This window comes from Homo sapiens, chromosome 10 (assembly GCF_000001405.40).
Source record: "Homo sapiens chromosome 10, GRCh38.p14 Primary Assembly".
Lineage (NCBI taxonomy): Eukaryota > Metazoa > Chordata > Mammalia > Primates > Hominidae > Homo > Homo sapiens.
In genome coordinates this window covers 29554999-29581326 of record NC_000010.11, presented here as the reverse complement: position 1 = coordinate 29581326, position 26328 = coordinate 29554999, and the positions used below count along the sequence as shown (strand labels likewise).

The window sequence follows — 26328 nt, the reverse complement described above, 5'->3', positions numbered from 1 at the left end:
ACCAGTGAGATGTGATCAAGGGGAAATGAAAGGGCCTAAGTGGGCTTTCCCTAGGGGCAATTTTCTCAGGTCAGGCAGTTCTGCCTCAGATTAAGGATCTGCACACATAAAGAAAATCCACCAAAGAAAATGAGAATACCATTTATGGCTGTTGCTAGCATACAAAATGCTCCTTTACTGGGCTATGAAAATATGTTCTTCACTTTGGAATTTCACTCCAGCCATCATCATTAGTAGCTTATAGTAGATTTCATTAAAATCATTTCCATAGCACTTCTTGATTTTGGAAATGTATTGATAAGTCATGTCAGTATGTATTCAGACAACTGCTAGTCATAATATCACACTCCCCTATACTGTACATTTAAATTCCAGCTCATGGTTGGTTTGATGGCTCACGCCTGTAATCCCAGCACTTCGGGAGGCCAAGGTGGAAGAATCACTTCAGGCCAGGAGTTTGAGACCAGCCTGGGCACATGGCAAGATCCCATGTCTACAAATTTCAAAAAATAGCCAGGCGTGGTCCCAGCTACTCGTGAGGCTGAGGTAGAAGGATGGCTTAAGCCCAGGAGGTTGAGGCTGCAATGAGCCGTGTTTGTACCACTGCACTCCAGCCTGGGCAACAGAGCCAGACCCTGTCTCAAATAAATACATACATACATACATACATTAATTAGTTAATTCATTCATTCCAGCTCATTTTCCTGTAGACTGGGAGTGCTTTCATTGATGTTCACTGAGCACAACAAGGTGACATGAGGTGACATCGTACGGACCTCTGGAGGAGCATGTAGTGCACCTGAATCCCTTTTCAATACGGAGTTCCTTGTGTGGATTAAATAATGCAGTCCATTTTTGGAGTGCTTCTATACGTGTTCTCTCATTTTATCCTGACCTCACCATCCTATTTCCCTCTTTGATTTTGTTGTGGCTGGCCAGGGAATGGCTGTTTTGCCTTTATTAAAACAATTTTTTTAGAGACAGGGTTTAATCTGTTGCCCACACTGGATGAGTGCAGTGGCGTGATCATAGCTCACTGCAGCCTTGGCCTCCAGGGTTCAAACGCTCCTCCCACTTCAGCCTCACAAGCAGCTGATTACAAGTAGGGATTGCAGGCATGTGCCACCATGCCCAGCTAAATTTTTTTTTTTTAAATTTTTTGTAGAGACAGAGTCTAACTTTGTTGCCCAGGCTGCTCTCGAACTCCTGGCTTCAAGCAATCCTCCTGACTTGGCCTCTCAAAGTGCTGGGATTACAGGCATAAGCCACCACCAGGCCCTGTTTTGCCTTCAGAGATGTATTTTAAGTTGTTGGTCTACGCTTGATGTATCTATCCTAGGTCAGGCACTATCCTGGTTTTCTCATCTGCATATGAGGATAAGTCACCGAGAAGACTAAAGGAATTAAATACTCCAGGACCCTCAGCCTTGCATCCGCCCCCCAGTGATGAGCCAGGGGAGGTCACAGGCACCATCCTGTTCGGCCCTGGTGGGAAATGGCTGGCTGCAGTGGAAGTGCTGGCTACTTCCCTTTCCCTTGGCTTTGCCCTCGTTTTCTCCCCCAGGATGATGGCCCCCAAAGGAGAGTTGCCTCAAAGGACAGCGTTGCAGGGGTGCTTGTGTGTCATCAGCCAGAACAAGTGACAGCGTCTGACTCCCCAAATAGCCTCCCTGTAAGTCTGAGCTGCCGCTGTGACCTGCGCTACACAGTCCCTGAAGGTTTAATACCGTGACTGTCATCTAACGCCTTAGCTTTTGACCTTGTCAATTTGGGAGGTGACACGTCTCACCTGGACTCATACTGAGACATTGTCAATAGTTGGACTGCAGGAATCATTGTCCCCGTTTTTGTTTTTTGTTTTTTGTTTTGTTTGTTTGTTTTGTTTTTTTGAGACGGAGTCTTGCTCTGTCACCCAGGCTGGAGTGCAGTGACGCAATCTCTGCTCACTGCAACCTCCACCTCTGGGGTTCATGCCATTCTCCTGTCTCAGCCTCCCGAGTAGCTGGGACTACAGGCGCCCGCCACCACACCCAGCTAATTTTTTTGTATTTTTAGTAGAGAGGGGGTTTCACCGCGTTAGCCAGGATAGTCTCGATCTCCTGACCTCATGATCCGCCCGCCTCGGCCTCCCAAAGTGCTGGGATTACAGGCGTGAGCCACTGTGCCTGGCCCATTGTCCCCGTTTTTACCTTTGCCTAGCTCAGAAATCCTGTTAGATGCCCAGGAACTCAGATGAACACATTGTTCTGAAGAAAACTAGGAATACACATAGTAACGAAGTAGGTGAAATAGAGCATAATAAGATACTTCCAGTTTCCCCAGCGAATCTTTAGCATGTTCTTCCTGATTCTCCCTACATGCAAATATTTCTGTTTCACATCATGGCTTCAGATTTTAGGAAAGACAAGAAGACTTTAAGTAATAGTCTCAGGCTGAGGAAAGAGAAGTAATACTTTTCCTCTCTGCAAACTATTCAAGAAATGTGGTTGGCTAAGAATGGGAGAAATTTAAGGATAGAAGTGATTTCAGTGCTTGCCTGCCCATTTGATTGATTGATCCATTCAAGCAGTATTGATAGTTTACTTGTTCTGAGCCAGGCTCTGTGCTAGAAATGCACCCGGAAGTGTGCATCACGTGCTGTCTCTCCAGTTTTTATAATCCTTTAGCTAGGAGACAATAAAGGCTTTTGAGCAGGAAAGGTGTGATTGGTAATAAAGAAGAACATTTAGGAAGGGGATTTAACAGGTGAATTCAATGTTGGTAGGCAGGGCAAGGTTCTTCTGTGCGCACCTGGTGTCAAGGTTAAGCAACACTGGTGCCTGTTATCAAGGATCTTGGTGACCATCTAGACCAACTCCTCAATTTACAGCCAAGAAAATGCATCTGCTGGAAGAAGTGAGCAGGCTGATTTTGAGCCATAGGCGCCATTCATTCATGCCAGGATTTTCTCCTGGATTTTTAGCCTATGTCTAAGCTTTGGGGATTTAAGAGGTCTTATTGCCTTCATCTTCATTTGTATTTAATTGTTTTGCAATTACAGAAGGAAATCGTGCATATGGTGGATACTTTGGAAAATAGAGAAGTTACTTTGGAAAACACATGAACAGAGTTATCTCTGAGTTGTGAGAGAATTAATGTCTTGGTTTATTTCCTGTCATTCTGATTAGGTGTGTGTGCATCTCTAATATAATATTTAAAATTTTTCAAATCAGTAATGGAGTTTCAACCCTGGTTTGCTCGTGTAATTGATTTACCCAGTCTTCTATATGCACCCCAGGTAGACTAATTCCCATTTTATACATTTATAAATGTATACACAAATACACATTTATAAATGTATACGCAACTGGGTCCATTAACTTTAACAATATTAATTATTCCAATTCACGGACCCATTTATTTGAGTCATCTATAATTTCTTTCATCGATGTTTTATAGTTTTCAGTATACAGATCTTTCATCTAATTGGTTAAATTTACAACTATTTTATTTTTTGATACAATTATGAATGGGATTGATTTCTTAATTTCTTTATTATATAGTTTGTTGTTGGTGTAAAGAAATGTTATTGGCATTCCTTAAGGAACCAAAAGTAGAACTACCATTTAATCCAGCAATCCCACTACTGGGTATCTACCCAAAGGAAAAGAAGTCATTATATAAAAAAGACACATGCACCCGCATATTTATAGCAGCACAATTCACAATTGCAAAGACATGGAACCAACCTAAGTGCCCACAGACCAACAAGTGGATAAAGAAAATGTGGTATATATACACTGTGGAATACTTCTCAGCCGTAAAAAAAGAATGAGATAATGTCTGTTGCAAGAACCTGGATGGAGCTGGAGACCATTATTCTAAGTGAAGTAACTCAGGAATGGAAAACCAAATATCATATGTTTTCATGTATAAGTGGGAGCTAAGCTATGAGGACTCAAAGGCGTAAGAGTTGTATAATAGACTTTGGGGACTCTAAGGGGAAGGTTGGGAGAGGAGTGAGGGATAAAAGACTACATATTAGGTACACTGTACACTGCTCAGGTAAGGGTGCACTAAAATCTCAGAAATCACCACTGAAAAACTTATCTGTTTAATCCAAAACCACCTGTACCCAAAAAACTATTAAAATTTAAAAAATCATTTGCAGTCAGGTGCGGTGGCTCACACCTGTAATCCCAGCACTTTGGGAAACCGAGGCAGGTGGATCATGAGGTCAGGAGATCGAGACCCTCCTGGTCAACATGGTGAAAACCCGTCTCTACTAAAAATACAAAAATTAACTGGGCATGGTGGAGCGTGCCTATAATCCCAGCTACTCGGGAGGCTGAGGCAGGGGAATCGCTTGAATCCAGGAGGCAGAGGTTGCAGTGAGCCTAGCTCGCGCCACTGCATTCCAGCCTGGTGACAGAGCAAGACTTCGTCTAAAAAAACAAAAAAAAATCATTTGCATTGTTAAAAAGAATAAAAGAAATACTACTAGCAGGGAGCGGTGGCTCATGCCTGTAATCCTAGCATTTTGTGAAGCCAAGGCAGGAGGATTACTTGAGGCCAGGAGCTGGAGATCAGCCTGGGAAACATAGTAAGACCCAATCTCTACCAAAAAATTCAAAAATTAACCAGGCATGTTGGCACATGCCTGTAGTTCTGGAGACTCAGGAGGATGAGGTGGGAGAATTTCTTGAGCCCAGGAGTTCAAGGCAACAGTGAACTATGGTCACACCACTGCACTTCAGCCTGGGTGACAGAAAAAGATATACTACTCATAATTTTATTTAATTTAATAAATGATGGGGTATGTATATATCAGAATTAGAACATGTCGCCATAATGCCATAGTCTTTATGTTCTGAGTCATCATCAATAAACCACAAACATTGTAAAAACATAGCAACCTGACATATAAATTAGAAGTTAATAGGTTAACTTCTATATGTAGACCAAATGAATATCACCTCTTAGAGATGATACCAATAATCACAAGCCTTGTCAACATTATATCAATGCAATTTTAGTAAAAAGTAAATTTTCCCTCTTGCAGATCCCATCAAGTATGCTAGTCACTCATTGAGAAGAAGAGTGCACAAGGGTAATCATGTTGCCTGAAGGAAAGGCCCTGATTGTCATTCTTATGAGTGTCCATAAAGGTCTTATTTACCATTGGCATCGTTCACAGCATACACTTTCATCATAACGAAAATGAAGCCAAACGTATTCGGGAGAGAAAAGTCAGGTACCAGATTGCTCATCAATTTATCCAATTTCAAGTTTCATGGGAAAACACATATTATTGTAACTCACATTTATACCCCAATTGCAAGGGTACTTCAGTCATAAAGATTCATCAGTGATCAAAACATATCCTAGCACTGTTAGAATACTATACTAATATTATAGAAAATTTAGTCTGTATTTAGACCTCAATGACTATAATGCATTGAGCAAAATTCCAATGTGTCATATTTCTCAACCCTTAAAAAAATCAATCCTAGGTAAAAAGTAAGGATTTTCTCATGAGGATTCCATCACATGTGTCTGTCAGTTATTGAGAAAACCGTGTCATGATATTCTTGTTGTCTGAATGAATAATTGTAATTATTATAGAGCTCAGTCTTCACTAGTTCAATTATCTATTTGGAATTTTTCAGCCGGCAAAGGTAGCCGCTCACTTCCACTCAATAGAATAGCACCAGTAGGGCTTACTAAATCATCCAGTGAGAGAAAGAGAGCAAGGGTCTTAGTGCCAAATACCCAAGAAAATTAGGAATTATAGGAAACTTAAACACTTAAAGAATCAGAATTTATAGTTTACTTAGAAGCACACAGATAGAAGTGTGCAAAACAAGTTTCACAGAAATATTTCATTGCCAGAATCCTGAAATAAAGTCTCCACAGAAGGAAACTAAGAAATCCAAACTTCTTGTCTCACAATTGTTACCTAGGCTGGGCCTCAGTGTAATCCTACTAAGCTTAATTTTTACGTCATCATTTCTCGTCAAGATAATAATTCAGCATTGGCCTAGCCCATGGCACTCATATGCATATGCACACTTAGATCAAATATGCTTAAGAGAGATGGTTTCCTTAAACACTGGTGGGAAAGTGGACTGGACACCACATCTTCAGTGCCAGACAATTGGGTGGTATCAGTATACAAATGGTAAACACCCTTGAGTTCATTCACAGTAATTTCATGTGCATTTTTAGAAATAGAATTAATGAGTCATTGCTTCCTACACACTTCAAAGTAGCCACATCCATATCTTATTCCTCTCCAGTAAGGTGGGAGAATTAGGAAGAAAAGGAAAAATAATAATCAATTGCTTCTTTTTATACACAACACCCACACCCCACCAGGGACACTGACTTCTCTCTGAGCCTTATGGCCTTAGCTATGCCCTAGTTACTCATATCTGGGGGTAGCCCTGGTTTCGAGCAAGGTCTGTGGGATCAAAACTAGACCTAGAAATCATAAGGTTTATGAAAGACAACTGCAGCTGGCCTGATGTCTCCTTCTGGGGTCAGGCTGGCCCCTTTACCAGCGACATCCATGTGGGCCAGGGCTGGGAGGCCCTATGACCTCAATCCAGGACAAGTTTACAACAGTGGCCCCGGTTCTCTTGTGCTCAGGCTGATCAGGAATGTGGGAGTTGTCCTGGGGAGAGTCAGAGCATGTGGATTTTCAGCCTGGCACTTCCACGCCACAAGCTTTGTGACCTTGAGTATTCTACAGGAGTCATCTAACATTTCATTACATGAAGACCAGGTGATCAGAAAGGCCCCTTCGTCTCCAGTCTTACCAGGGTCCACCAGGGCCTGATTCATTTGTTCCAGTGATATCACTGTGGGGTGTCAGCATCCCAATGGTTCACTCATAGATCCTTCAGGTCTCCTCCAGCCACCGCCCGTGTACCATGACATGACATGGCATGTACCATGGCCCGATGTCATATGTACCATGGTGTGGTGTGATGTGTACCATGACATGACCATGTTACATGACATGCTATGACAGTGACCTCCCTCAGCCTCTCCCAGGCACACAGTTTTACCCCTTCTCCTAAAGCAGGTTCGCACGCCCATCTAAAGGCAACTTCAGTATTTGCTTTTACTTCTCTTTAAAGATTACAGCCTTAAAAATATTCAGTAAAATATTGTACTTCCATAAAGCATTGCCCCTGAGTAAGATTAGTGCTTCTCAGTGGACACAGCAGCAGGGAACTTTGTGCGTTCATGCTGAGCTGGTGGCTGTGTGATGCTATTGAAAAGGGAATACACCACCATCAGCGCTCGGTTAAAACGTCTTCTCCCTGAAATTTAAGAAAGTCACAGGCTGGGCGCGGTGGCTCACACCTGTAATCCCAGCACTTTGGGAGGCCAAGGTGGGCGGATCACCTGAGGTCCGGAGTTCGAGAGCAGCCTGGCCAACATGGCGAAACCCCGTCTCTATTAAAAATACAAAAATTAGTTGGGCATGGTGGCGCGCGCCTGTAATCCCAGCTACTCAGGAGGCTGAGGCAGGAGAATCGCTTGAACCCGGGAGGTGGAGGTTGTAGTGACCCAAGAGACATGCCATTGCACTCCAGCCTGGGTGACAGAGCGGGAAAAAAAAAAAAGTCACAATCACAACTTAGAATTTCTCTGCAAATAAATATGTTAACCTACAGAATGACGTGAGGAAATGTTTGGGTATTTTGTAGCTCCCCTGTGTGAATAAGCTAGCCTAAAACAATAATGATAATAATAGTAGTAATAATTCTTGAATGTCAAGTGGAAAAATTAAAAATAATAATTCATTATAATTATTGGAGAGTAAATGAAAATTTTTCAAAGATACTTTCTATGAACATAAAATAGAGATTTTTCTTCACAGTCTTATTTGGTTTCCTATGGATAGGATACCTAAATAATAGATTAAATTTTATATCCATAATTTCATAAAGAATGTTGTGCCTTTTTCCTTTCAACAACTATGTCATATTTAAATCAGTTTGCTTTGTACCGTAATCCATGGGTGAGGCAAAGAATTCTGGTAAGACTCCGTTACCAACTTAAAGATAATACCCAACAATTAAAAAAAATGTGTACTGGAATTTTATTTTCAAATTTCGAATACGGGAAGGGGACAAGAGCTGAAAAACAAATGATTGGGTACTATGCTCAGTACCAGGGTGATGGGACCCATATACCCCAAACCTCAGCATCACTGAATGTACCCATGTAACAAACCTGCACACATACCCCTTAATCTAAAATAAATGTTGAAAAAAAAGGAGAAAAGGAAAAGCAAGCGACAGGAAAATTTGAAAAAAAATTAGAATAGACTTATTCCTTAATAATAATTCAAAATAAACATTTAGATTCTTTTAGATAACTGTAATTGAGTATTCTACAGGAAGAGTAATTTTCAGGCACAAAAAGGGTGATGAGCAGTGATACTGTGTTCCATAAACTGTTACATTCTTTATAAAGGATTATTTATCAACATGTCAACATGTATATTATTTCATCCTATCTCTCTATTCTTTTTTTCTTTTTCTTTTTCTTTTTTTTTTTTTTTTTTGAGATAGGATCTCACTCTGTTGCCTAGGCAGGAGTGCAGTGGTGCAACCATGGCTCACTGCAGCCTCGACCTCCCAGGCTCAAGCAATCCTCCCACCTCAGCCTCCCAAGTAGCTGGGACTATAGGTGTGTACCACCACATCCAGCTCATTTTTTATTTTTTGTAGAGACAGGGCCTCACCATGTTGCCCAGACCAGTCTTGAACTCCTGGCCTCAAGTGATCCTCCTGCCTTGGCCTCCCAAAGTTTTGAGATTATAGGCATCAGCCACCATGCCTGGTTCATCTCTTTATTTCCAGAATCAGTTGCTTTTACTATTTCCTCTCCTTCCTCTTCTCCTCCCAACACTCCCGTTTTTCTTTTTGTTGCTAATTATCTATGACCTTACCATCAAGTTTCTAATTTAGTTATCCAAGGTACTGACGTTGTTCCTCGCTGAGTTTTTTTTAACTATCCTATTTGCCATAGTTTTTCCTGATTTTATGACTATAATGTAATGAGTTTAGAGAAAAATGGCAAAAATGCCACCACTGACCCCTCTAGTACCCAGGGTTGATGTACCTTGTGTTTATGTGCCTTTATTAATTCAGCATATAATTCTTCATTTTCACCTTAAGTGTGTTTGTATTTTACAAATTAGTCTAAGTCCACCTGGTTTGAACACAGGATACTAACTCCACACACCCATTTTAGAAGGAGATCTCTAGCTTTTAGAAGAGATTATCTTGTGATTTCCTATGGTCATTCAGCAAACATTTCCTGCAGCCCTACTGTGCACCAGGTACAGTGTCCAGAACTAAAGATACAAAGAGTAACTCAGAGTCCCTGCTCCTAGGTGGGGTGTGGTGAATCACAATTTTGATCCCGCCTCCCCAAGATCCCATAGCTCCATCACCAAACAGTTGTCTATCCAGGAGCAAGCTACTCGTCTAGCCCTATTTCCTTAGCTTGCAAATGAGACCATTTCTCCTGGTTCTCTTGAATGTTCCGTTTTTCTGTACAATCAGTCTGTAATTATTGCGAATTTTTCTTGGAATTGCATGAGCATTGCTTGAGCTCATCAACTACATATTGTGGTTAAAATTAAGCGGGGGCAATCTAATAGGCAAAGCTTAACTTAATAGCTTCTACCTCAAATTAAAATTTTGAATCTCTAGTAATATCTGCCCTTTCTTTTCCCACAGTTTCACTCATATGTTGTTCATAAATCTTAAGTATGGGTTTTTGGCTCTCTGTTAGGTAAAATACTTCACTTAACTTAGCCAAAGCCAGACTTGCAGCAGCCTGGAAATACTCAAGCGTCCCTTCTTCCCAATACACGAGGGTCTCTGTAGGTTTTTCTTTGTATGTGTGTCCGTAGGGAGAGGAAGTTGTATCTGACTCCTCCGAGGATGGTTAGGTTGCAGCACTGTCTCCTTAACCAGAGCAAATGCTGGGATGCTCCATGGCTTTGCCTTGGTCATCTACATCACCCACGTCCCATCACTGGGCTCCAGTCTGTTGCAGCGCCTCCAGGCTTAATTTCTGTTCATAATCTGATTATGGGGTCTGAGCTATTCCAGCCAGTGGCCTCTTGCTTCTCCTGTACCATAGGCACAAAGATACAAGTGCCTGGTCGCTCTAGTCCTGCACTGTGAAAAATCTCAACCCAGTTTTGCTTAGACCAGACGAAGGTGGTTGCTGGCTGAGAATTAGCTGTAGAGCAGGCTGTGTGACCGAGCCGTCTGTGTGCAGCCATGTTCAGAAGCCCAGGGTTTTCCAGCTATTTGGGAGCTTTCAAATTCTCTGAGAAACAAGGTAAGGCAAGATAAATACGAAATGCACTTATGTATGGATTGTATAACACGATGAATGCCTGGGGTCCTCTATTTTGCCCTATGTATTCTCCTGTGTTCAGTTACTTATACACATTTCTCCAAAGACACTTTAAATATCTAATTGAGTTTATAAATGAGCTTATCTTGTGATTGCTGATAATGTGAATTTGTTTTCCCTTAATAAGTTAAAGTTACTACTAAACCACTGAAACCTTTTTGTAGGAAAAATTGCAAATGCAATTGGAATGCCCACACTTTGGATCAAATGCTAGATGTGCTGCACTTTAGCTAAAATATTTTTCTAAATCAAATGCTATACATACTAAATTATTTCCAGTAGGCAGTGGTGAGTAGCGTCTTTTTATTAACTCTTCATGTGAGACAGTTTGGAACAAGATACTGTCTTTTCAGTGGCTTTCTTCCAGCACAGAGGAAAATACATGCTTTCAATGTAACTACTGAAGTGGTGTGGCATGTTCAGTTCACTGATTGAACAAAACTGAAACGCTAAGGTTATTTTGAGTATCATATTTGAAACTCAGCCATTATACATCAGAACTGCTTTCCAGCTCAAATGCACTATTGGGAAGTGACTTGAACAATTCAGACCTCAGATTCAGGAATTTTCTCCTACAGCACTTGAAAGCTTTCTGAATTGATTTCTCTTTGGTTAATTACATAACAAGATACTTGCATAGTTAAGAGAAAAGCTTAGATGTTTTACTGGCATTATACCTTTCATTTTATTGTATTTCTTTAGTTGGCCACAGTTCCAAATTCCAGGACTGAGGATGTATTTTGATGGATAATGAAGTGTCAACATCTGATATATTTTGTACTTATTTTTCCTTGGGCTTCTGCCCCTAAATATTAAAGAGCAAAAGGCACTTCCTTAGGGGAAGAAGTTTCTGTAAATGGTCTATTTGTGGTTTTCTTAGTGGACAAATGCTGTAAGCCAAAGGCTGTAAAACAGATTACATGCCATTAGACTGGTTATAAATTTTGTCTGTGCCTGGTTTTGATTAACCTGTTCCTTTGGGATGTTTTTCCTGTATAGAATTGTTACCAGCTGTCTTTACATAATACCTATCTTGTCTTCAAAATACAAATAAATAGTTATTTTTATTGGTTGTTATTGTGTAGATTTTAATGAGAGCAAAAGACACAGCTGAGTTGTCCTTTGCTCTTCAGACCCCACCCCCATTCTTTAAAGGCATCTCAAACATTTCTAGTTGCCTGGACCAAAATTGCTTAGTTTCTCCTCTATTCCTGAGTATATAGCTGCCTTATTTAGCATTTAATTGCTTTGAGTTATTCTTGTTGCCATAACAAATTTAAATGGTAACATTGAACTGTGTTAGAAGTATTATTGTTATTATTGTTGTTATTATTTTCATTTACCCATGGAGTATGTTGGCTACTTTCCGGAAGAGAAAAGCAAAACTTGCCTATGTAAATTTCCATGTGGAATTTGATTCTTAGAAGGTGTCATTTTTGTATTTCTATTTTTTGTCTGGTTAATGGTTTTCTTTTTCTTAAATTATATGTTCAAAAGCAGTTTGGAGAGTTTTTTCTCACCGGATTTTTAACAATTTGCATAACTATTTCAATGTTACATTATTTCTTTTCCCTTAGATTTCAACAAGAAAAACTTAAGCTTCCTTGGATTCCCACGTCAAAGGAAAGTTTCAAGGTAAAGTGGCCTTGTCTCAACAACTGTGAAATTTTGAAGATTTGTTGTAGCTTTTAAAATTATTCTCTTGAATGTCTAACTCATGAGTTTAAATGTTTGGCAATATGTTTTCTCTCTAGAATTTGATTTATTAAAATGTATGAAGCAGAGGAATCTTTGTATTTAATTCTGCTTATGGAAACTATTTGGAGAACAGAATCTTGCTGTCTCTTGTCATTGCAAACTTTTAAAGGACTATTATCTTTTCTTTCTCACACCTGCCTCTAAGCAGGCACTGTCCTTTTGCAATCTGTCCATCAAAGAAGGGAGCTAGATTCTTTTTAGAAATGGTTTAAACTTGTTTCTCTTCCTTCTCCCTTCCTCCTTCCTTCCTCTGCTCCCTCCCTCCCTTTTTCCATAGACACACACACATACACAAACACACACACACACACATCCATCCATCCATCCATCCATCCATCCATCCACCCATCCACCCATCCATGTGAGTTATTCTTCCCTGGTCTTCTCAACTCTCTCTCTTAACCTTTCTGAACTTCCAGTCCCCTTGGCCACAGAATATTATGGGTGCTAATTTGATTGACCTAATGTGCTAAAACTCCATGACACATCATCATGGATGTAAGAGAAGTGGAAATGAATGCCTGTGCCATACACAGTAGCTGTATCTCAGGTGCTTTTTAGTAGATTGTTGTCTATATTAATAGAGTTTGATATTTTCAGATGGAGGCACAAAGTTGTCCCCTACGCAGTCAGGCAAAGATCTCAATCTGTGCTTCATTATAGCGGAAGGACCCAGCCCCCATTTCCACACAGTTGCTCTTGTGCCTAAGGTATTATGACATTGTTCCTTGACCAAAAAGGGTTTGCATTTCAACAACATTAGGATAGACAGGGGTCTAACTCCTGTCCTCCTCAGGCTGAGCCTGCTCTGCATTTGAAAATGGCAGTTGATCTTGTAAACACCCTGGATGGGACAAATCCTTGGTGTATTTCCTCCACATCTTTTAAGTGTTTATGCTTTAATTTTTACACACAATATCATCAAGCGGCACATCTAAGTACAAGGTTAATTAGAGCAATGATGATCCAGGGTCATCAGTGAGGTTGTCTTAACTGACTCACGAAACGTCACTTTTTTAATGGGATGCATCCGTATTTCTCATCTTGGCCATGTTTTAATAGGATCTGAGGCTTGGTTTCTTTCTGTTTTTGTTTTTTTTTTTGTTTTTTTTTTTGAGACGGAGTCTCTCTCTGTCACCCAGGCTGGAGTGCAGTGACGCGATCTCAGCTCACTGCAAGCTCCGCCTCCTGGGTTCACGCCATTCTCCTGCCTCAGCCTCCCGAGTGGCTGGGACTACAGGCACCCGCCACCAGGCCCAGCTAATTTTTTTGTATTTTTAGTAGAGACGGGGTTTCACCGTGTTAGCCAGGATGGTCTCGATCTCCTGACCTTGTGATCCACCCACCTCGGCCTCCCAAAGTGCTGGGATTACAGGCGTGAGTCACTGCGCCTGGCCTCGGCTTGGTCTCTAATATGTCCCTAGCAGGTTGGTTTAACTGTCATGGAGCTAATAAGTGACTAAGGAAAAAAGAGACAGGAAGGCATTCCTTATTCAAGGATAGGAAAAGCATGCAATATGAAAGTCACACACGTCAGTGGACAGAGACTCAAAGAGACACAGCTATTCTCAAATCATGGACATTATGTCATGCATACCTATTAAAATGACAGCCTGTGTGCCATGGTGCTAAGTGTGAAATGGGCTGGAGGTACAAGAGCCTGCTTCCTTAGAAGAAATCTGGTCAACCAGACACCAGCTAAAAGAGACGAAAATATGAGCTCATGGGGCTTCGTCTCCCATATCTTGTAATTTAAACTTCAGTAATGGAATGAACAGATTGTGGAGGAGACTTACACCGCATGGGTGCTGGACAGTCATTGTAATAGTAGCATATTCCACGTTGTGAAAAACAGAGATGATAACAGCGGAGCATCCTGCTCTCCCTTTAATAAAATTCCCCCGTGCTGCTATGGGCAGGCATTTAAGTAGGTTAACGGGACACGTTTAAAAGAAAAATTGTCACAGAAGCAGGGGGCATTCTCTTCTTAGAAGCAGAGGAAGGGGGGTGGCGGCACAAACAATCAGTCCTAAAGAACGAGCACTGTTTCAGGGGAGACAAAGAGAGTTGGAAAAAAATCCAAAAGGTGTTTCTCACTGTTAGAAAGTTAAAATCAAAATGCAGAAAATGAAGTGGACAGCACTAACTTTAGTATCTATGGAGAGATGCTTCCCTACTGAAACACAGGCTCTTACTTTTGGTTGAGCTCTAGTGAGACACCAAGGCCTGCAGAGGTTGACCCTGCAGACACCCCTTTGTCCCTGGGGAAGTTGGGGTTGAGGGGTGACTGAGGAGGAAGGGCAGGATCCAGCATCCGAGAGCTCCATGCTTTTGGGGTCACTGGTCATGTGCATTAGTAATGGGCCCTACCAGTCTCCCGCTGGGGGGCCTCTGAGTCAGAAGAAGCAGAGAGGAGAGAAGAGTCTGGACCCTCACAGGTGCTTGTGTTTCATCAGCGTCAGATGAGCCAAAAAAGGTGCTCACTGATGAACCGTCCTGAATTTTACAAGCATGTCTTACCTGTGTTTTCATTGATGATCGGTGCCCTCGGGTAGAGAAAGTTCAGGGAAGAAACATGATTTTTTTTAAAGAAAGAAACTCGATTTCACATGTTGATTTGAGGGGTCTTGCATTAATCACAGCTTGTGGCACTGCCTTGAGCCAGAGCCACACTTTCCAGCCCAGTCTGCCTGCTCCTGCTCCTCCTGTCTGCTCATCTGATTTCTCAGAAGCCCCCAGTCATTTAGCGGGAGCAGGGGAGAGAGGCAGCGGAGACAGGACCAGAGGGTGATGACAGCCGTGTGGACTCAGTAATAAATGTTTACCTGGAAGCTGCAGATTCTAAAATCAATACTTTATAAACACGTGCAATTATGCCAGTTTTTCACACATGTATGCAAGGTGAGCAAAGGTACTAAAGAATGATGTGTTCCAAATTATGCCCTGTCCAAAGATGAAAGAAGGAAAGAAAGGAAGAAAGGAAAGGAGGGAGGGTGATAAGGAAGGGAGGGAGGAGGGGCTTATGACTGATGTTATTGACCGTATGCTCTTATAGTTATTCTCAATGTTTGTAATGATGTTACCTCTGGCCATCACATCAACTTTGCATAAAAGGTACACAAAAAATACTTCAGCGTGAATTGTAGTATTCATTTGAAGTGTTTTGTAGTAATCATTCATTCATTCGACATATTTTAATTTTTTAAAATATTTTTAATTCAATCATTTAATTTTTTTAACAGACAGGGTCTCACTCTGTCTCCCAGGCTGGAGTACAGTGAAATGATCATAGCTCACTGCAACCTCAAACTCCTAGGCTCAATGGATCCTGCCACCTCAGCCTCCTGAGTGGCTGGGACTACAGGCTTGTGCCACTGTGCCTGGCTAATTTTCCTATTTTTTTTTTTAGAGATGGGATCTTGCTATGTTGCCCAAGCTGGTCTCAAACTCCTGGGTTCAAACAATCCTCCTGCCTCAGCCCCCACAAAGTGCTGGGGTTAACGAGGTGTGTAATATACTTTGGGTGATGGTCACAATAGGCAGTGGGTTTAGGTGCTTTGCCCTGAGGACATGACCAGTCAACTGAGGCCCAGACCAGAAGCGAAATGAAGCCACACGATGGCAGGAGGCTGGAGAGGAGAGAGCTCAGGGGGAGGAAACAGCATGTCAAGTGAACCACGTTAAGAAGCATCAGAGACTTTCCTCTTAGACCTTTGGTTTTCTTTGGTTTCTGACCTGCCATCAAAAGGCTGCACTTCACATGGGTGCTGGCACTATTTGTAGCGTGTTTCGAGAAAATAAGTGCCTGTGAAGCCAGGGAGTGTCCGGTGATGACTCGTAAAGCTCACTCTGTAAATTCAGCGGAGTATTTAACTCAGGGACAGTTTCTTGCTTTTTATTAGTGGCTCTATTGAGCTTTCTGAGAAACAGAAAGAAAGAGGAAAATAACGGCATACAGATGTTTATTTTTGAAAATAAGATATAGCATTTGTACCGCAAGGTAAGTGGCCTGAAAAGCTGAATATTTCAAGGATTGCATTATTTCACTTCAATGTAGAATTTTTTTTCCTGAAAAGATTTTAGTTTCCTAAAGAAAGTATAGAGCTTTGTCAAGATGTTTAAATTAGCAATTAAATAATCAATTAAAATAACACGCCATTCCTTAAGTCGGGTACATTTCTGCCATTATTTAATTTTTTTAGGTTTCTACACTGAAAGGAGTAGTTACTGCCTTACAATTCAGTGTTTAGAAGTCGGTGCTAATTCTAAGTTTCTGACTAGGCAGGTGTCCTAGGCTCTTCCAGCCAATCTGGAGTGTGGCTTATGAAGCATAATTATTCTCAAGACTTTTCATTAAATAATGTGAACACACTTACCTATGGAATGTAAGCTTTGCTACATTGTATATGGAAAGACGAAGATTTCAGATGGGCTTGGTTCTAGGAGGGCAGGATGGTGGCTGTGCTTTGGACTGTGTGGAAGTTCTTTCCCTGTAGTTTTTACAGGGGGTAGAGGTTATCAATTGTCCCACTTACACAGTATGCGCAGTGGCTTCCTCGGTCTCTTCCTTGGCCTCTATGGAAATGCACCCGAACAGGGGGAAGGTCAGCTTCACAGTGAGTCTTTTCCAAGCCCATCTTTTCCCCCTCTGGAGGTCACACTGACCTTGAGGAACTGCAGTTCCCTCTTTCCACAGGTTTGTTTTCTTCCTTCGAGGCAGCAGCACCCTCTGCCCTGCCCGCTCCGACCACATCAAAGACCATGGAGTTGGGTACACAGCAGTCTTGGGGTGACTGTGGCTAGTATGAAACTAGGAGATGGATTTGAATCTCATCTCCTCTTCTTGTCAAATACGAGTCTTTGGGCAAATCATGTAACAATTTCCGGATCTGTAAACTGAGGATGGTACTAGTTCCAGTGTTGTGCTGCGGCCAGACATGTGTGCCTCTCTCCCAACTTTGAGTTCAGTGAGTCCTGTGGGAGCCTGAGATCCGCCATGGTGGGAGTGTTGACACCACCAGTCAATATTACAAAGCAGGTGCTTTTTGCAGGGCCGTGTGGAGGGCCTGGGTGGGCGGGGCAAGAGGGCAGGGCCATTCGTACCTTTATCAGCACCTCGCTGAGTAGTTCGTACCTCTTAGGGTCTTGGAGAGATAATTAAGGAGATACCTGGGGGATACATGGGGAGATAAGGAGATACATGGGGGAAAGCAGATACATGGGGGAGATGTATTAAGATGTATTAAGATGCATTAAGGAGATACATGGGGGAAAGTCCACAGTAAGGGCTCACTTCCTTTATTATTCTCCTCTTTCATTTCCTCTTTTATTCCAACACGAGTCTTCATGAGGCTTTCCAAACTTTTGACCATGCTTTGATGCCTTGGTTGTTTGAAGGCATCTGTTACTTTAACATAATTTTAACACTGGAAGACAGAGTGTAGATCACCTAGACAAGTTACTGATTTTCTGAAGAAGAAATTGTAGCACAGAGAGGTTGAGTAATTAATGCAAGCTTGCACAGCTATTCTTAGGTCAAGAAGAGGTGGTCAGTCTGAGTTAAAGCTCACGACTCCCAGTTCAGCAATGTTTTCACACATCACACCACGCCACCCGCCAATCCTGCTGTAATTAGTTGCACAAAAAATCAAATATTTACAGAAATATAAATAAATGAAAAAAGTTACCAATTTACTCCCCAATATAAAACATTTTACCTGCAATCTATGTGTACATATTGAATGATGTGTAACAATATCATAATTTTTGTGTTCTGCATTTTTTCACTTATATATCTTTATTTAAATGGACTTAACTTTATTAATGGAGTAATTTTTAGCTTTCAGAAGGAGTTCTCACTCGAAGATAAAGAACAGCTCGCTAACCACGAAAGAGGAATCGATGCTCAGCTTTTAGTTGCACTTCCTAAAGGTAAGGCTGTTCCTAAGTGACCAACCATGTCTGGGTAGATGCGTATTGTGTTGTCCGAATTTCCTTGAGCAGAACTCTCTCCCTAACCTCCAGCTTACAGTCTCCTTTCGGCCCTTCCTGCCTCCTCCCAGAATTAGCTTCAATTCCCTTCCCCCTCTCTCCATGCATCCATGCATTTTTAATCCTCACCTTTCTACTCCTTCTTGCCCTTTAATTTTAGGCATCCTCAGGTTTTCGCCAGAGGCTGGGTGTGGCGGGTGAGACAGGGAACATAAAATCGCCCTGCCCTCATCTCTTTCTCCGTTTAACCTTCTCCAAGGGCAGTGAGTTCTGACCATACCCCCATTTCTTCTCTGTCCACCCACTCCTGCTGCCTCTGGAGGCTGCCCCAGGCCTTACGGCTCTTTTTTTTTTTTTTTTTTTTTTTTTTTCTTTTTTTTGAGACGGAGTCTCGCTCTGTCGCCCAGGCTGGAGTGCAATGGCACAATGTCGGCTCACCGCAACTTCCGCCTCCCAGGTTCAAGTGATTCTCCTTCCTCAGCCTCCCGAATAGCTGGGACTACAGGCGCCCACCACCACGCCCGGCTAATTTTTTGTATTTTTAGTAGAGACAGGGTTTCGCTATGTTGGCCAGGCTGGTTTCGACTCCCGATCTTAGGTGATCCGCCCGCCTCCGCCTTGCAAAGTGCTGCGATTACAGGCGTGAGCCACCGCGCCCAGCCAGGGCTTTTACATTTAACATCTTGTAGCTTCCTGCTGAGCGGCGAACAGCCCGTGCAGACTTTATCATGAGCATCTTTCTTCTTCCCCAAGGAGGCACTCACACGTGTTTGGTGAATTACTATTTCCACTGGTCAAGGCGCACATGCGGTAAAATGTCTGCACCAACTATAAACCAATTCCCCCTAGTGTTACCAGTGAAATGATGTAAACATTGATTGGTCTTTGTAACTGTAACACTAGCACAAGGAATGATCATTAGTCTCAGCTCACAAAATGTCTTCATCCTGACTGAGCTGTGGAAACCTTCCAGTGGAAGAAACAGATTTGATGGAAGGGCAGATTTTTTCTACTCTGAAAGAAAAAGCAAAAATCATGCCCCAAAGAAATTAGAACAAAAAACGTATTCTTTTAATAGAAAGTAAATCCAGTAAAAAAAAGTCCCACTGACGAATTGGAATATATCCTGAGGAACTGAACGGGTGATAGGCCGAGACACAGTCTGATGAGGGTGAATGTCTGAAAGACTCAGGGGATTTGGCCTGGTGAAGGAAACCCAGACAGAGACATGTGGCAATTTTCAAGAACTGACAACGCTGTCAGCCGGAATACAGGTTTATTCTATGTTGCTCCAGAGGCCAAAAGTAAGAATAACGTGTAGAATTACAAGGAGGCAGATGAGATTTCATATCAAAAAGAAAATTAATCGTTCACGGTACCTGGAAATGAGGTGGTCCACGCTGTGCTCGCATCGGCTCTCCCCCAGAGTTTTCAAGGGCAAGCCAGTGGCCTCGTGTCCAGTTAGGACGGGTGCAGATGGGGCATGGAACGGCTGTCAGATGGAATGGCTCTGCCAATGTTTAGGACTCTCTGTGAAAGACAAAAAAAAAAAAAAATTTCCTCTGAGCCAAACTAAAGTGCTTAATACCTATGCAGATGATCAAAACAAAGTATAAGAATGAACAAATCCATATTAGCAATAGCTGAGAAAAGTTTATTAGGCAAAGTTCTACATAGCAGAGGTTGTTTCCACCAGTCAGAAGCATCCCTCTTTCCCTTCCTCTATCCCAGTTCCTTTATTTGATGCATAATACCGCAGACAATATTATGAGCAGAAAAATCAAAAACAGGATGAAATGCTGGGTTCCTTAAGGTTCAACAAATGGTAACTTCATCTGTAATAAACTTTTAGAACACCTAAGCTTATTAGCCAGTTGTATTAAAAAATTTGTCATAAATGATTATAAAAAATAATTTTTACAAATCAAAGATGACGATTTTATGTGTTCACCAGATTGGTGTTTCTAAATTAACATGGTCCCTAAATCTTTAAAACATGCTTTAAAAGTGCCAGTGCCCCGGCTGGGCATGGTGGCTCGCATCTGTAATCCCAGCACTTTGGGAGGCCAAGGCAGGTGGATTACGAGGTCAGGAGATCGAGACCATCCTGGCTAACGTGGTGAAACCCCGTCTCTACTAAAAATACAAAAAATTAGCTGGGCAAGTCCCAGCTACTCGGGAGGCTGAGGCAGGAGAATCGCTTGAACCCGGGAGGCGGAGGTTGCCGTGAGCCAAGATCATGCCACTGCACTCCAGCCTGGGTGACAGAGCGAGACTCTGTCTAAAAAAAAAAAAAAGTGCCAGTGCCCCATGTCCCCTGAATTTCACCTAAATTCTCTACAGTCTTATTTCACATATCTTTGCTTTTTATGAAAAAAATAGGCAGATTTGGAAAGACCAGCAATTTCATTGTTTCTCTGATTTAACACATGTATCAATGATTTTGTGTGTCAGCTCTTAGCAATATTATGTTAAAAAAAGATTTGGTTATAATTTTATTTTAATGACATCAAGTTTTATGTGTGAGAAGTTTATGGAAGTCTCTTTCTGTTCATTTCCTGTGAAAATGGGCATTAAAGTGGTTGTTACTTTTTCTCTACGGGACTTCCTCTGTGTATCACAAACAAGTAATCAAGGGATTAAAAATCTTTACCTATGTAACGTTTATAATATTTAAAAAGATTTTTTATTTAGGAATTATGAAGTGGACCAAACGTATTACTCCACTTTCTTTAGCAGGTTTATTAAGATACAACACACATCCATGCAATCCTATCATTTAAAGTATGCGATTACGTTGGTTCTGGCAATTCAGAGTTCTGCCTCCATCGGCACAGCCAGTTTTAGAACATGTTCATGACTGCAAAAAGAAACCTACACCCTTCAGCTGTCACCTCTCCCCCTTATTCCTCTAGTTTGTAATTGCTTGGTTTATGAGCTGCTTGTCTTTATATTAGTGGCTGCCATCCAAGAGTAAAAGTTAAAGGGCTTTACTCCTGTGGGAAGTAAGATCAGAATATTCCAAATCTGGCCTGGGCTCTTGAGCTGTCGTGTGAAGGAGAGAAGTGTTCTTGGCAGTACCCCTGCCACTTATATTTCTTTGGAAGATTCTACTGTACTCAAGTTTGGAGGACTGAACTCAACAATGTCTTAACCAGAAACCTTCTGTTTCTTAGAGCTAATGGAAGAAACTATGTTTCCCAAGAAAAGCACCCTGCAGACCAAATTGTCTAGAATATTGGTGTTATATAGTCTTATTGCAAAGCCTATTAGGTGGTTGTAAATAACTTTATGAAGTATTATAGCTCTGCTATCAAATTTCCTTAAATCGCCTTACTTGAAAACTAACCTCCAGCTCCCATCAGAAATAACTAAAGAAATAGACTCACAGAGTCCAGATTGCCACAGTAGTACCACTCCGAATTACTCAAAGAAGAGTAACAGACCAACATAGCAGGTAAAATAAGGGACAGGTGGATATGTTTGGAAGTCCTAATGTATTTGAAAGCAAAATAGAAAATGTCTCATTAAAATGGAAATTAGACCATCGATGTTTATTTATATCTGGATTACATAATAACTACTATTACTAAACATGAACCATATATGAATTATAATTATGACACAGCATATAATCAATTGAATTGTAGCTGGTGAACCTAATTTTGAAAAGCATTCTTATTCTTTTTTGTTAAGAAATACACACTGAAGAATTTAGAGATGAAGGGGCCTCATGCTGCAATTGACTCAAATGGTTCAGAAAAAATACTATGTAAATATGTATGTGTATGTATGTACATAGACACATATGCACATGTAAATATACTTAAGAGAAAGAAGAATAAAAATAAACCCAATATAGTAAAATGTTAACATATTGTGAAGGATATCTCTTACATTTTCTGTACGTCTGATATTACAAAAAATTTTTTTGAAGTTTTAAAAGAACACAAACCTTCAAGATTTTCAACCAGAAGGCAACTTTGGTAGAACTGTAGGTAGGCTTTATAAATAAAACAACAGCGTTACAACATAGATTTCCACAGCAATGGTGACTTTCATGCATGATGTTTTTAGTATTGGCTTTATGCTATTAATAGTACAAAAACATGTTTTATATGATTAATAATATAAAATAATATAAAACATGGTTTATATAATAATATAAAATATATAATATAAACCATATTTTTTATATATATATATATATTTCGAGGCAGAATCACACTCTGTCACTCAGGCTGGAGTGTAGTGGCACAGCCTTGGCTCACTGCAACCTCTGTCTCCCGGGTTCAAGCAATTCTCCTGCCTCAGCCTCCCGTGTAGCTGGGATTACAGATACATGCTACCAGGCCTGGCTAATTTTTTGTATTTTTAGTTGAGACGGGGTTTCATCATGTTAGCCACACTAGTCTCAAACTCCTGACCTCAAGTGATCCACACACCTCAGCTTCCTAAAGTGCTGGGATTACAGGCAGGAGCCACCATGCCTGGCTATTATTATTAATAATAATATAAAACAGATATGTAATATAATACACATTAATTATATTACATGTTAGTACAGACATGGGGAAAAGAGGCAAAACTCAAAATGTCTCTCTGTTGCTTCTTTTTGTCTTGTACATCATTTCTTATAATCCCGTTTCTGTAGGAATGAGGCATATCTTGGTAATTAAAAATATATTTGCTAGAAAGAATAGACTGAGAGGTCATCATTTGTTTGCTGGGGAGACTTTTTTATTTTCCTTTTAAAATTCACTATAGATTTTCACTAGGAATTAATAAGCTCACCAATACATTTAAAGGACAATTTAATTTATAAGCTCATTTAATTCCTCAGTGAAATGATCAGAGAGGACCCTAAGGTGTCCCTTCAAGTACCCACTATGTTGATGGATTCTAGCTTCCAGGAGCAATAGGCTTGGCATAGCTTTGCGTTGAATCTAGGCTTGACTGAAAAGAGTGCAGTGCTGGGCTAGTGGCGTCTGTACTGTGTAACCTAGGGCCTGGGTGTCTAAGGCACAGGCTGTGTATTTGAAATTCTAGTACTGGGGAATCAGTGATTCTCAATGGTTCTCAATTTAGGGCAGTCCCTAAGGGGCTTTAGAAATATATGAGGATATTTTTGTGTCACAGCAAATGGGGGTGATTTAGCATCACTATAAGAACCTGGGACATTCAACATCCTGCGGCAGAGCTCACAGCAAAGCCACTTCCCATTCAGAAGCCATTAGCGCCCCCATAGTGATCTGGGAGCTCTCCAGAGCCAGCCTCCTGAGCCCATGACCCTGATGAGGTCCATCTGTGTGTCTGCTAGATCCTATCCTGAGAATTTCTCGTTTTATGCCCAGAAGTGGATGGCTATCAGAGGGCAGTGTTCACTGGAAGGGCAGTAGGAAAGTCTACCTTTCCTGTGGACAGGAGGCTTGCACAGTCTCCCAACTAGATCTTTCTTTCTGGAATATGGGAAATAGAAAATAGCAGGAAGCAACATGTTGCTTTGCTTTTCCATGCACTGTTGTAATCTTTTTTTAAAATGCCTTTAGTTGCATTTCTATAGAAAAATTTTAAAATTAATTAAAATTTGGATGAAATGAAAGTGATTTTCAGCAGTCTCTAATTAGAACCAAGAAAAGTCTATCTTAACTTTTTCCAGTGGAAGTTACATGATACTCGGTTTATTAACGGTTTTGATACTTATCCAGTTGAAATAATGTGGGGCAAGAAAAGGGACATGTTAGGCCAGGCGCGGTGGCTCACACCTGCAATCCCAGCACTTTGGGAGGCCAAGGCAAGCAGATCCCTTGAGCCTAGGAGTTCAAGACCATCCTGGATAACATAGCGAAACCCCGTCTCCACAAAAGACAACCAAAAGCTAGCCAGGCGTGGTGGCACATGCCTGTAATCTCACCTACTCGCGAGGCTGAGTTGGGAGGATCACTTGAGTCTGGGAAGTTGAGGCTGCAGTGAGTCGAGATCGTGCCTCTACACTCCAGCCTGGGTGACAGAATGAGACCCTGTCTCAAAAAGAAAGGGAGGGGGGAGAAAAGAAAAGAAAGGGAAGGGGAAGGCAGGGGAGGGGAGGGGATGTGATTATGCTACTCAGGACCCTATTAATATTTTCTATTTCTCAGTTAGGGTTTGAGGCATGGGTTCAAGTCGTACCTTTTAGGCACCCTTGGAATTTGGTTTTGATAGCTTCTTGAGTGGTCTTTTGAAAAATAGGGCTCCACTTTCCTCTTTGGGGTTTAAATAATTAAAACCCTTTGGTTTTTGTCATCCTTGAAAATATTTTCAAAATATGTCCTACCAGCCATTAAAGTTGTATCACCATAATCCCACTAGGGCTAATTTGTTGACAGGGAAGCTGTTGTTATTGACCAAGCCTCCTCTCCCAAGGCCGCATGGCGGGGTGCACCATTCTCATTATACCCCTGTCTTCTAAATAGGAACATGATTAGAACAAGGACTTCTCTGCCTCCAGCTACTCTGATTCCTGGGGAGGCCAACTGGGAGACCTTTTTGAAGTCAGAGGGAGAGAGGTTTTGTTTTTTTGAAGCCGGCTATCTCAACAAAAGCCAATTCAACTGAAGTTTTAAGGTGGCTATCACTTAAAAATAAATGAAGAAAAACAAGGCTTCTATCCCTGAACACAAAGGGCAATATAAAACTTTGTGTGTGTGTATGCGTGCATGTGTGTGTGTGTAGTTTTGACTCATTACTAAAAATTACCACTTAGAGAAAAGAAAATGGAAATTGAAGCAGTCAAACATCAAATTCCTTTGAGTTTCTCCTGTGACTCAGCCTTTCAAAACTTTTCATTGGCCCTGGCCCCAGGCTGTCCAGCCACCCCTCTCTCTTTCTCCCACCCCATTCTGAGTCCTTCATAGGAGTCACTCAGATGCGCCCTTATGAATTTAAGCTATTGAGGAGGAGGCAAAAAGAGAGACCTTTATTCTCCATGAACTTTGGCCATTTCTCCAAAGAAACAGTTGTCTGGCATCTCAGTAATATCCTTGTAGTCAGTATCATGTGAGAATCTCCCAACCTCAGCACAGCGTTTGTTCTGTTTCTCCAGTGCTGCCAGAAACATTGGGGTAATTACCTTACCCATCATCCACCTAAATTATAGCAAGGAAACCATTGTTAACATTTGCTTCCAGTGAAAGCCTGTGCAGGGAGGCGGAGGACCTGTGTTCATCTAAACTGTAGCTAATTGAAGCGGCCACTTTAGGCACTGCTGGAAACACAATCAGATAGTTACAGCCATTGACAAATTCCGTGACAGGGTGGAGGAGAAGCGGCTGTGAGTTCATGCTTGTAGCTTGCCGATGGCCCTGTGGGGTTCACACTCCTAGTCTATACTTCTGTAAATGATTTCCATAATAGAAGCTTAGAATACTTTGTTAAATCAAACAAAAGTTAGAAACAGTTGCTGAGATTTCTGCCTAAAATACTTTCCTAGAGAAAGCTTGCTCGTCAGGTCTCCCTTGATTCCCCTAGATGAAATAAAACCTTCTGCCTTACCCTGTAGGATTTTACTTCTTAGCCAACCTATATATGTGACATATACGTGAGTCACATAGCTAGGTGTTACAATATATATACAACAAAACATTCTATTTAAATTATTTTAATGTATGTGATTTTAAATATATTACATATATATTTCATATTAAACAGTATGTTGAGTGAGCATGTCTTAGCTTTGCCTTGATAACTCTGTCATTTTTATGGGCATCAAATATTCAGCTTGACCTTAGAAGAGGATGATGCGTCCTAGGGTGTGTCCATGTGTGTGTGTGTGTGTGTGTGTGTGTGTGTCTGCACACTCTTATTCATTTGGCATCTGCCTCCCCTACTAGGAAACAGTTTCCAAGAAAGCAGGAACTTGGTCAGTTTTGCATGTCACTGTGACATAGGAATCAAGAACTGAAATTTGCAGTTCAATAAACACGTTGCATGAGTGAATAAAATGAGCGCACGACTACTAAATACTATATTTTGTTCTTTTTTGGTTTTCTTCCAGTTGCAGAATTAAGACAAATCTTTGAACCAAAGAAGAAAGAATTCTTAGAAATGAAAAGGTAAGATCTTTATAGTGGGAGTTAGGAAGTAGAAGAGAGCTTGGCAAAGCAG

At 41.3% G+C, this 26328-nt stretch overlaps 1 protein-coding gene and 1 pseudogene across 4 annotated transcripts in view, besides 1 other annotated feature; one reads left to right on the top strand and one right to left on the bottom strand.

Moving 5' to 3' along the window:
- The window catches only part of SVIL (supervillin), a 279599-nt gene that overhangs the window by 155610 nt on the left and 97661 nt on the right, over window positions 1-26328 (top strand). For all 4 annotated transcript variants that reach the window (NM_001323599.2, NM_021738.3, NM_001323600.1 and 1 more), the window contains 3 exons: window positions 12015-12072; window positions 18035-18126; window positions 26219-26276. In NM_001323599.2, coding sequence (NP_001310528.1) covers window positions 26269-26276 — 8 coding nt within the window. In that variant the 5' untranslated portion in view covers window positions 12015-12072; window positions 18035-18126; window positions 26219-26268. The remainder of the gene's footprint in view (window positions 1-12014; window positions 12073-18034; window positions 18127-26218; window positions 26277-26328) is intronic.
- On the bottom strand, window positions 5946-6021 carry LOC124902571 (uncharacterized; annotated as a pseudogene).
- Window positions 17976-19175: an enhancer, noted in NCBI's record as "BRD4-independent group 4 enhancer chr10:29851081-29852280 (GRCh37/hg19 assembly coordinates)". NCBI's record gives its function as "activates an origin of replication core promoter dependent on BRD2, P300/CBP, MED14 and CDK7 cofactors, and independent of BRD4, by STARR-seq in HCT116 cells {active_cell/tissue: HCT116}" and the evidence as "EXISTENCE:reporter gene assay evidence [ECO:0000049][PMID:35650434]".